The 12,865-nt window shown below is 36.2% G+C and overlaps 1 long non-coding RNA gene across 1 annotated transcript in view; it reads right to left on the reverse strand.

Annotated features, from left to right (window-relative positions):
* The window catches only part of LINC01581 (long intergenic non-protein coding RNA 1581), a 202,536-nt gene that overhangs the window by 94,394 nt on the left and 95,277 nt on the right, over positions 1–12,865 (reverse strand). The window contains exon 3 of the long non-coding RNA NR_120320.1: positions 1,880–1,963. This is a non-coding gene — a long non-coding RNA (long intergenic non-protein coding RNA 1581). The remainder of the gene's footprint in view (positions 1–1,879; positions 1,964–12,865) is intronic.

Raw genomic sequence — 12,865 nt, forward strand, 5'->3', positions numbered from 1 at the left:
TTGCTAGGGTGCTTTTTGCTCTGCAAATATATTATGAATCTTATATCTGATTTTCTTTAAGTCAGTTGTCACTTGGTACTAAATTATGTCATGTCGTTAAGGATTTCACAACCTTTGTAACATCAACAATGGTACTGACCACTGTTGACCTGGTTGAATAGTAACTGACTGGTAACATGAAAGCCATCTTCATGATCCCTCTAATCATCGACCCTGGAGATAACATTTAAATACAGTCAAAGCTTAAGCTGATTCATGCACTACTGCTAGAAGCATAAATTTGTACCACTTTTCTGGAGCAAAATACAGATATGTAGCAAAAACTTTAGAAAGTATCTAAATCCTATTACATTGGAAATGCTCTTCTAAGAATGTATCCTAGATGACAGTGACATAACTTGGTTAAAATTGAAGCACCAATTTATTTAATAATAAAAAACTGGGTCATCATATAAAATGTCCATTTATTACAGGTAAGACATGAGATATTAATATAATTGAATACCTCATCTCATTAACAATGATAAAGTACATGTGTATTTACTGAAAATAAAATACAATTTCTTTGTGGAAAATAAAAAGTACCTTATAAAACTATATGCATAGTATAATTATTTATATATTATGTTGGCATATGCATCCACATTAGAATATTTAAAAATGTATTTATCCATATCCATATAGATATATAGATATAGATGGATATATATTTGTGTATGAGGTTGAAAAAATATTTGCAAAGAAATCTGAAAATGCATACATAAAATATTAGTAGTAGTTATCTTTGGAATGTAGCATATGGGGGATTTTTTCCTTAATGGACATTTTCTACAATGAACATACATAAAGTACACAAAACCCCCCAAAGTTTGTAAATATTTAAGTTAATCCAAGTTATTGGAACACTCTGAAAGTCTGGCTTATGAAGGTGAGAGCTGCAGGTCAGAATGCAAACTGAAGGTGGCTTCCAGTTAGAGCCAGGCTGGCCCCAGTGCTGGGCTGAATAGGAGAGCTGGCTGAGCCCTGAGTTTCCGAGCTGAGCGAGTGAGCCAAGTTGGAGCAATCGGTTACAATGGGGGGCTGGCGTGTGCCAGAGGTAAACATGGTACGATGTTTGGAGATGAGGTGTTAAAGACTGCCTCTTCTGAGACAATGTTAAGAACAAGACTTTGTTCTGAGTCTGCTCTTCTGGAAGGCCTCAGCTTCAGTGTCCCCAGTAATCAAGCCAGATGTCTTAACATGGTCACTTTTTCACGGTCTCTGACAGCTGACAAAATGTTTCGTCTGTGAAAAAAATAATGCAATATGGACACAGACACTGAACGATTTAATAAGATATAGCAGATAGTGGGGGGAAATGCCCCAGACAAAAACAAGAGCATCTCTACCTTTGTGGTTGCAATTCAGAGTAAAGGTTTAGAGGGGTTTTTTAAAGTAAATAATTCTCAGTTCACTAAAGGAAATGTACTCAGCAGAGAAATGCTCAGAACAGTGAGATTTTGATGATGGAGACTGACCCCAGGTCATCCCAAAAATGCACTCCCTGGCTTTAGGGAAATAACAAATCCTTGTCAGTACTAGCATTTTTCTGTTTGCTATCAACTTTTGGGGGTTTTCTCATCATCATCATTATTATTAAAAACACATGTCAACAAAATACAACTAATATACATCAGCAGCAAGTGTTCTCTAACAGAAAAGGGGGGGATTTGAACTGCTCAGATGTTTCTGTTAGTTGCCAAAAAAAAAAAAAAAATACATCTGGTGAGTCTTCCTCACTGATTTCCCTCCTATTTTTTCCCTCCTTCTCCTAAGGGAAACTGAATGATTATTTGGACAATATGTCTCAGAACTATGTCGTGTTGGGGCAAGGACTAACCATAAGAGAGGAATGTTGGACGTTGAGAACGTTGCTCATGGCTTCTCCACTGAAGTGACAGAGATGGCCAGGAATAGAATGGTCCTGGGAGGAGAAATATGCACAGATGACATGGCCAGGCACATATTTCCACTTCCTTACAATACTGAGTTACTGACATACTTTTCCAAACCCTAATGCCACATCTTGCTGAGTGTCAGTTAAGATGGTTCAGGTTGCAAGAGAATGAAAGTAGTTTAAACTAGCTGAAACATTAAAGGGAATTTATTTACTTATGCAATTAAAAAGTCTACAGAGGGAGTAAGTTTCAGGTACATTTTATTTTATTTTTTTAAATCAGGGCTCCAGCTGTACTTCTCTGTGTATCTTTCAACTTTTCCCACCTCTGAGTTTCTACTTCAACCATGCAACACACTATCTATGAAAAAAGAGAGACTATGGATGTTCCGCAGCTCCCAGCGATGTTCCTGAGCATTTCATTGACTGGACTGCCTTGTGACCAGTGGTTGCCCTAGGCTTTATTTCCTGAACTAATCACTGTCAGGGAGGATGGCATTACCATAATTGGATTAGACAATTCATGATGTCTACTCAGCCCACGCAAACCATTTGTCTGTAGGGAAAAGGAGGAACAAATGTTGGAGAACCAACCAATGTGTCCTCTGGTGAACTGATGAAGTCATTTTTCCCCAGCTAGAGATATATATAGGTATATATAGTAGTATATATATATAGGTATATATATAGTTATATAGGTATATATATAGGTACATAGGTATATATATAAAGGTATATATGTAGTGGCTTAAAATGGTATAATTAACTACTATATTCTCATTATATATTATATATAGTATATATATAGAATACATATACTATATATACTACTATATTCTATATAGAGAATACTATGTACTATACTACTATATTCTATATACTATATAGAATATATAATAATATATCATACATCATATATAATTATATATAATGTAATGAGAATATAGTAGTTACATGTTATAGTTCTATATATAGTACATATAATATATTCTCATTATATATAGTTGTATATATGATATACAATATTGATAATATAATATATTATAATATATTATATTATTATATAATATACAATATATTATTATATTATATATACCATTATATATGATTATATAAATTTATATAATTTCATATGATTATATGAATTATATAATTTCATATGATTATATGAATTATATAATTTCATATGATTATATGAATTATATAATTTCATATAATTATATGAAACTTAATCTAACGTAATCTATGCCAGGCACCATTCTAGGTACCTGAATGTGTTGAAGAACTGTTTCTAAGGAGCTTATGCTCTAGTGACATGGTATTTGATATATAAAAATATATATGTATATATTTGTATATACAAACCTAGAACATATATAATGAGAATATATGACTACTATATATACTATAACATATACCTACTATATTCTATATACTATATATAGAATATTATATACTATATATACTACTATATTCTATATATAGAATATTATATGCTATATATACTACTATTTTCTATATATAGAATACTATATACTATATATACTAATATATAATATATTAGCATATATTATATTATTAACATACACTCTATATATGATATAATGTATATATTTATATAATATAATGTATTATATATTAAATATATATATGAGAATATATATTGTATATGTATACTATATATAGATCTATAATATATATCTAATATATTCTCATTATATATTATATATAATTATATATCCTATATAATATATAGAATATAGTTGTGTATGTATAGTATATAGTATTCTATATATAGAATATAGTAGTATATATAGTATATAATGTTCTCTATATAGAATATAGTAGTATATATAGTATATAATGTTCTCTATATAGAATATAGTAGTATATATAGTATATAATATTCTATATGTAGTATATAGAATATAATAGTTGTATGCTATAGTATATATAGTAGTTATATATTCTCATTATATATGTTCTAGATTTATATATATAAATATATGCATATGTAATTTTTATATGAAATATCATGTCACTAGAGCATAAGCTCTTCAGAAACAGTTCTTCAATACATCTCAGGTGCCTAGAATAGTGCCTGACATAAAGTACACACAAAATAAATACACTTATTGTTGAATGATTGTTGCATGTCCCAGGTGCTGCATATTTGAACAGAAAGCATAGACCATGCAGCATTCTCCATTCTCCTTCTGCTGCCCCCTCCCCTTCACACAATGCTGCATACAGACCCAGTTGTTCACAAACAAACTTCTTGCAGGCACCTTTAAACCCCAGGCGATTCAGCTTGTAAAAAATCATGTCTGCCTGGCTCCCTAGTAAAAAGACTTCAATCAGATTAGCTCTATGAGATGGGGGCATAGATTGATAGATGGATAGAGTTTGTATTCAAAAGCTATTCCCAAATAGCCTTTTGGTTGCCTTTCTAAAGTTCTTCAGACTGCTCCAAACATTGTTGTTGATAGCTATCAACAGCAAGGCTCCAGAAATGGACATAGAAGGTACATCGTGCCATCATAGAGGACAGATGATACTTTAAGGCTCATTCTGATCTGGAAGTGCTGTTTATTACACCTGCACGATGAGTTTGGGTACCAGATTTGGATCACCTTATTTGGAGTTAGTTTAAACAAGGGGATGTTGTTTCTATGTTTCTGCAGACTTTCATGTGTGTGAGAGGGAGACTAACTGTGGTTATCATTTGACCCAGACCGCTTCCTGAATCAGTCTTATAAGAAGTTTCCCCATTCTTTTTTTTTTTTCTTTTGAGACCAAGTTTCACTCCATTGTCCAGGCTGGAGTGTAGTAGCACGATCTCGGCTCACTGCAACCTCCACCTCCCGGGTTCAAACAGTTCTCCTTCCTCAGCCTCCTGAGTAGTTGGGATTACAGGTGCACACCATCACACCCAGCTAATTTTTGTACTTTTAGTAGAGATGGGGTTTCACCACGTTGGCCAGGCTGATCTCAAACGCCTGACCTGAAGTGATCCACCAGCCTTGGCCTCCCAAAGTGTTGATATTACAGGCGTGAGCCACTGCGCCCGGCCAAGAAGTTCCCTCATCTTTAACTCTTGTGTAATTGCTGTTTTCACTGAAACACAGTTTGCTCAGAGTGGAAGGCAGCTGGGCTGTTTGCTCCTCCTTGGTTCGCAACAAGACAGAACTTGGCCTGAGAGGAGGGCGGGGGATTTATTTGAATAGCATTCCTGAGGAAGACAGGGCCTGTGCGCTAGAACCTTGGATTTCTGGAGTCACCTTGGAGAGGCATTCAGGCTGATAGTAGCTAAATCCCCTGTAAGAAATGCCGTGACTCAACATTCTTATGCTCTGGGGCATAGTGCCTTCATCTTCAGAGTTCTGGACTCTAATCCTGAAGAGTGTGTGCTGGTCCAGAACCTCAGAGATACTCCCTACATGGTTTACATATGAGTAACAATGCTTTGTGTTTTCAGTTTATTCCCAAAAAGGTGAAGGTGAGTGAGTGCATGGGGTAGAAAGAGGGACACTCCCTCTTGTTATCTCCATCACATATCACATTTGCAAACTGATATATCACAAATACTGCACACATAAATTTCTTAGGGTATAAGCCTTTTTTTTTTTTTTTTTCAAATTTTTGAGGCAGAATCTCTCTTGTCGCCAAGGCTGGAGTGCAGTAGCGCAATCTCAGCTTACTGCAACCACCACCTCCTGGATTCAAGCAATTCTCCTGCCTCAGCCTCCCAAGTAGCTGGGATTACAGGCACCCACCACCACACCTGGCTAATTTTTTTGTATTTTTAGTAGACACAGGGTTTCACCATGTTGGCCAGGCTGGTTTCGAACTTCTGGGCTCAAGTGATCCACCTGCCTCAGCCTCCCAAAGTGCTAGGATTACAGGCATGAGCCAACATGCTCAGCCACATTCACTGACTTTTATTACATTGTTGTCATCAAGCACATAGAAAGTCTGACATTTGCTTTATTAAGTGGACTATCTGCTGTCCAATCTGAAGGTAAAATCAATTATGATTTTAGGTTCCATTCTTACAGTCCCACCACTAAGTTTCCCAACTACACCCTACCATTTTCTGCTGTTAAATTGTTGTCTGGATTCCACTCAATGATGTGCTGATAAATGTTTAATGACCAGCTCTCTGGGGAAAAATGCAGATAAAAGTATAAACACATTGAGAGGTGAAGCCAGCTGGACCTCCTGGGTGGAGTGGGGACTTGGAGAACTTTTCTGTCTTACAAGAGGTTTGTAAAATGCACCAATCAGTGCTCTGTAAAAACGCACCAATTGGCGCTCTGTAGCTAGCAAGAGGTTTGTAAAATGCACCAATCAGCGCTCTGTAAAATGGACCAATCAGCATTCTGTAAGATGGACCAATCAGCAGGATTCTAAAGGTAACCAATCACAGGGAGGATTGAGAAAAGGGCAGTCTGATAGGACAGAAACAGGACATGGACGGGGACAAGTAAGTTAATAAAAGCTGGCCACCCTAGCCAGCAGTGGCCCGCTGGGTCCCATTCCATGCTGTGGAAGCTTTGTTCTTTCACTCTTCACAATAAATCTTGCTGCTGCTCACCCTTTGGGTAGTGCCACCTTTAAGAGCTGTAACACTCACCGTGAAGGTCCGCAGCTTCATTCTTGAAGTCAGGGATACCACGAACCCACAGGAAGGAACCAACTCCGGACACCACATGTTTATTATAAATTTATCCATATAAAGGATATGTGGCAAACAGCTGATAAATAATAATAAAATATACAGTACTCTTTATTATAAATTCCATATCACTAGCTGTTTCTCACAGAATGCTATTGTTGATTTTGTCTGACTTCCTGTATCTATAGCCAACCTAAAACTGCAATTGATTAACCAAGTGAAGTTTCAACATGAATATTGATGTGTTCTTTTACTTGAGTTAATCAAAGGGAAGCGAATTAATCAAGATGTATGTCAAAATTCTTACTCATTTTTTTTTGAGTCAGATAATAGTTTTCCGATACTACAAAATATAATCTCGTTAATTTCCTATGCAATTCACCATGTAACGGCTACAGACTTGACATATTTTAAGTTTATTTTACATTATAAATAGTTGCTCCATAGTCATTTTCTTAAGTCGAGACAAGCAGCAAAATAATAGACCAAGGTTGTGTTTGTAGCTTTTTTCAATTTTCATCGTGTAAGTATTCTCACCATGGTGGATTTTAGGCTGCCAGTCTGATGTCACTGAAAGTAGACTTGGGAAGAGAGACAGAGTATCTCATATTACATAGTATTTCCACTATGTAGGTAAAACAACGCAATCCGAAGAGCATAGATAAGGGCAAAATGTAGTGGAATAATTAGAAAGTGATGTGTTTTGAATATTTATTAGCTTTGTTATAAGATTATTTAGTCGTTGTTTGTATATTTTACTGTTTAATAATGGCTGTATTTAACAACCAGGTCACAAAATTCCTGAAAATTGAGCCATTAGATCTCATAGCTCCAGCTATAAGATACCACTGAAGTCTACCTTCCTCTCTTTACTATGGCCCTCTGAAGTCTCAGCCTTTCAGATATTTTTTTAAAGCTCCTGTGCCTCTTCTTTTTCCACCAAAGGGCCATTTCGTTCTATTAGGGTTTTTTGGGTTTTTTTTTTTTTTTTTTGAGTCTCACTCTGTTGCCCACTGTCGAGTGCAATGGCACGATCTTGGCTCACTGCAATCTCTGCCTCCCTGGTTGAAGCCATTCTCCTGCTTCAGCCTCCGCAGTAGCTGGGGCTGGGATTACAGGCGCACGCAACATACCCAGCTAATTTTTGTATTTTTAGTAGAGACGGGTTTCATCATGTTGGCCAGGCTGGTCCCGAGCTCAGGCAATCCACCTGCCTCGGCCTCCCAAAGTGCTGGGTTACAGGCATGAGCCACCGCGCCTGGCCTCTATTAGCTTTCTTGTTGTAATTGTAGTTCTGAGCTCATTCCTTAATTCTTTACCTCCTTTTTAGTTCAAACAGTTCCAATTTTAAGCATATTTCCTCTTTTCCTTTTTATTTTAAACCTTCCTTTAGCTTCCTCCCCCAGAGTCTGGGGTTTGCAAATTATTATGGGATATGTTCTGACCAAAAACTAAGCCATAAAGCTCATGCTGTTGATGAGAACGTAAATTGATCAGGGAGATCTGAGTAACAGGGAAGTGCCGGGTGACATATGCGGCCCTGGATTCCCCTTGTCCTGCAAACCAATTGAATCTGAGGTTTTCCGAAGACACCATCTAAAGATCATATTCACCTCACTGCTCCTGCAAGTTACCTGGTGCAGTGCTTGCTCCCATCCTGGGCATTTAACACATGTTGACAGGCAACTTTCCTGCCATGTGGCCAATTTTCAGCCTTTCCTACCTAAACTCCCCTGCTGGTTTTGACTGGCTCTGCTAGATCCTTCTTCACTCGCACAGATGTGTTTGGGAAACTATTTGACTCACTTGTCAGACTCTCCCTGCCAGATTTCAGTTGCCTAAGGTTTGGGGGACCGTTCCAGACCTCCCGTTTATGACTCCCAACCCTGCTGACTTTGGCCTGCCAGGGTGGAATCTACGCTCAGCTGGAAAGTCTATTGGACGAAGCATGCCTCTCCTGTCCTGTCAACTTTGACCTCAGAGAGTGTGTCCTGGCACTATGAATTAATTTCCATTTTAAAACTCAAATCTAAGACACACTGCAGTTTCTGCTGGATAATTTAGGGAGTTTATATGCTAAGATCAGGTATTACAGTACTCTACCTTATAAATCCAGGAAATACAAATTAACCAGGAATGTAGCATGTTTAACCGCAATGAGAGCTGGCATAGTTTTTCTCTGATCCATGCATGGAGAGTAGCTGTGAGCCCTTCACAGGTGACATTGAAATGCCCCTGACAAGCTCCACAACACGTGCGGTCACCCTAGCTAATAACATCAGAACACAGCCCACTGACTTGAAGATAATTGGTGTTGCTGTTTAAATGTCACCAGACTGCCTTCAGATGCACTTAAACTATAATACTAAAGAATAATGTTGTTTTAGATCCTGGGTTCTTCACCCAGTGACTAGTCTTTTGCAAGACAGTCAAGGAGATAAGGAAAGAGCAGCAGTGATCAGTGTCTTGTAACATGTGTGATGATTCATAAAGGACTCAGTTTAGTTAATGCAACAGATATCAAAATGTAAGTCCTGCTTGAGGGAAAAAATATGTGTGTGTGTGTGTGTGTGTGTGTGCATACACATATACATGCACACACATACAAATTGTACACACATATGAAACTCGTACATTTTCACCTAAAGGGTAGAATATAACATTAATGAAAATTTACATAACACTAATCAAATGGAAAGACAGTTTGTTTTTCTAGCAACCACTGCAACAATTACTTTGTAAATATTAAAATACAAATGCTGCTAGATATAACTTATAAACAGTTACACTAGGCAACAGACATTATCATGCATGGATGTTATGGATGTTAGAGAGTAAACTATACAAAATTCTAGACTTTGTTATCAGAGAGCCATGAAAACACATTGGTGGAAATACATTTTTCTTAAGGCTTGGAGTACTATAAAGAATTTGTAAAAATGTGTAGCCTTCTTTTTCTTTTATGTGGAAGGGGTTATCCAATGTAGAAAGATGGAAATTCATAATGTAACACCATCTGTATGTCTTTGAAGTTTCAGCGTCAGAGAGATTTCTCTGGATGCACAATTCCCACCTGGCAACTTAAAACCAAGTACTCGAGCAGCAGACCTATAAGGATCTCTCTGGGCCTGCCACTGTGTGCTCTGCCGAGGATGACAGAGGACACTGCGTTTGCTGCCTTTGGGATATGAAGACCTAGCTGTTCCATAGAGGATGGAAATTGGTGTAGATAACCAAAGGGTCACCAGCTTCCTGAGCCGTGAGACTTGGCGATGTTCTAAGCTTTGATTTGTTGGAGATGAAATGTTTCCTGCTCACACTGAGCAAAGAGATAGAGGTCTTTGTGCTTTAGCACAGGTGTCTGCCAGGGGCTCTCTCTGCCTCGCTGGCAGCCCTACTAACAAACCACCTAAAATTCTTGCTGGAAGCAGAGTGTTATATGCTATATGAACAAACTCAGAGCTGTTTGGATTAGGATCATATAAGGAGAAACATACAAATAAAAATACAGGAATGAACCAGAAAAGAGAACCATGTCTTGAGTTTATTGAGATGAAATTTCTCTTCGAAAAATATATTTAAAAGCAAGATAAATGAAAATAAAGAAGAAAGTTTGATCTCAAGGAATATGTCAATGATGTTAGAGATGTTCTGTGTGGTGATTACTATAAGAAAGCCAAGACTGCGTTCATTAGAGTAATTGAAAACACCTGTTCTCCCAAGAAAAGTTCCGCATCTCGATTTATTTTCCGAAATAATGTGGCTAATTTTTCCCAATTCTGAATGGCTCCTGCTTATTTCAGGAAATTGCTGTTTATTTCAAGTTAAATAAAATTAAAATCGCTTTTTATTTCAGGAAGGGGGAGTTCCAACATCATCACCATTCCTTGATTCTTCCTCAAACTTCAAAAGTTTCATAAGCAATAATAACACATACATTTTTCTTCCACATTGATTCCTTAAATAATAACTTTTTAAGGAATAAACCACAAACAACCAGAAATTACCACAAACAACTATAAAATATTTGACTATGGAAGGAAAGTAAGAGAATGATGTAACAAATGATGAAAATCTGTGTTTTTTAAAGATGATAAGATCTTACTAATGAGTAAACAGATAGAACATTTAAAAATTATGACAGAAGCATCATCATGCACTGATCTATCCCCAAATGTTCGTCTAGCTTGCTGAAAATGCTTATTTTCTATGTTTAGGCCATTGTCTCAGAAAAGTAATATTACTAATACAACGTAGGCTTTTAAATTTGCATGGCTGATTTTACGTACTTTCATTAGTTCTAGAAAGTTTTCTAGAGTCCCTCTGTTTTTCTCTCTTGAAAATTGGATGGGCAAGGTCCTCTTCTTATCCAATTCTTTAGCTTCTACGCTGGCAGCAATGCCATGTCAGAAACACAGCTCAGGGTAGACTCCCCAGACTCTCTCCAGAAGTAAAATAAAACTGCAGGAGGAATACATTCATGCATTCAACTAACCTAATTTTTACAATAGAATGTCCTGTGTTTACCTAACATTTAACATATAAAAGTTCATTAAATGAATCTCAAAGCATGCTGGTGGGGAGTGCTGAAATAGTTTTGAATATTTGTTTGAAATCACACATTGATAATCACACTGATTTTTTTGTTTCTCTCCAGTTTTCTTTGAAGATGATCCAGGATCATCCTACCAATACATGTTTGTGCCCTGCCTCTTTATGTCACATTTTAGCATGACCTTTTCTGATGCTATTAAATAATATTCTTTTAAAATATACATGTTAAAGTTGTTATGACATTTCATTATTTGGACCTGTCACAAAATATGTGATTATACTTCACGTTTGGAGTAATTACCTTCCTCCCATTTTCATTAATACATATAAATTTGTATTAATAAATAAGGAATGTAATTAACATTTCACTCATAATTCTTCATTGATGTTTTTGACTTATGGTTGTATTCTCGAAAGGAGAAATACCAGGTTAAAAATCACAAACTTTTTCAGGACTCTTAATATATATGATACTAAAGTATTTTCTTAAAAAACCATACCAGTTTATATTATCACCAGCAGTATTTGGCTTGTGCGTACTATTGCTCGATTACAAAACTTGAGCATTTAAAAATCTTTGCTAATTTGTTAGTGAACATGACATATCACCATTATATCTTAATTTGCATTTCTTTGATAATCACTGCATTGGGCTTTTGCTTTTATATTTACTATTTATATTTTCACTTTTGTAAATTCACCATGAGTTTATTCATATTTATATTTACTTTATGTGTCATTCGTTTTGATGAACACTCTTCGTATTTTTCGGTTTTTTCCACTGTGTATTTGTCCTTTAATCTTAAGAAGTCGATTGGTGTAAAGAGTTTTCCCCTCTCCAGAGCGTCAGAAAGCCCATCAGTGATGTCATTTCTCCTTTTCCTTTGGTGTTACAGTTAGAAAGACCTTCTCCCTCCAAGATCAGATATAGCTTCACCTACGCTTTCTTTCATTTCTTGTGTGGTTTCACTTTTTACATTTAAATACTCAGTCTATCTGATGGATTTTAGTTTGAGTGGTGAGGAAAGGCAGTATCTTCAATCTTTCCCAAGAGTAAACAAGTTGCCCCAGCAAAGTTTATTATTTGGTATAGCAGGTTTATTGTGTTTCAAGGTAATATTCACAAGGATATGTACTGAAAAAGGCTGTTTCTATACCATCAATTCTATTTCATTTTTCTCCCTATGTGCTCCTTTATTAGTATAACCTTACAGAGAGCAGCTTTACAACATGTTTTAATATCTGATTGGCTGATCAATTTTCCTTGCCTCTTACATGATTGAATAAGGGGCAATTATTTAGTATTTATTCCCTCAAATATTCTTTAGAGCCATATAATCAAACATTTCCCTTTCTACTGTTACTCCCACCTAGATTGCGTTGTGACTTTTATTGTATTAAACCTAAAATTCTTTCCGGAAAACTAACATCTGTGTACCACTCTTATCCAGTAACATTCTATTGCATTATTTCTCCAGGACTTCTGTGTCTATTGGTAAAATTACATTGTGTCTTATTGTTGTACCCAGGTCTTGCTCGACTTGTGCCTACGTATCATTTTGTTATTTTTGCTATTAGGAAAGAGGTTGTTTTTCCACTATATATAATATTTAGTTGATTCACTTAGTTTTACTGAGAAGGCAAGTAAGTCACTTGCAAAAATTGATAAATTATCATCATGCTTTATAATACTCATG

The sequence above is a fragment of the Homo sapiens genome, chromosome 15 (assembly GCF_000001405.40).
Source record: "Homo sapiens chromosome 15, GRCh38.p14 Primary Assembly".
Classification (NCBI taxonomy): domain Eukaryota; kingdom Metazoa; phylum Chordata; class Mammalia; order Primates; family Hominidae; genus Homo; species Homo sapiens.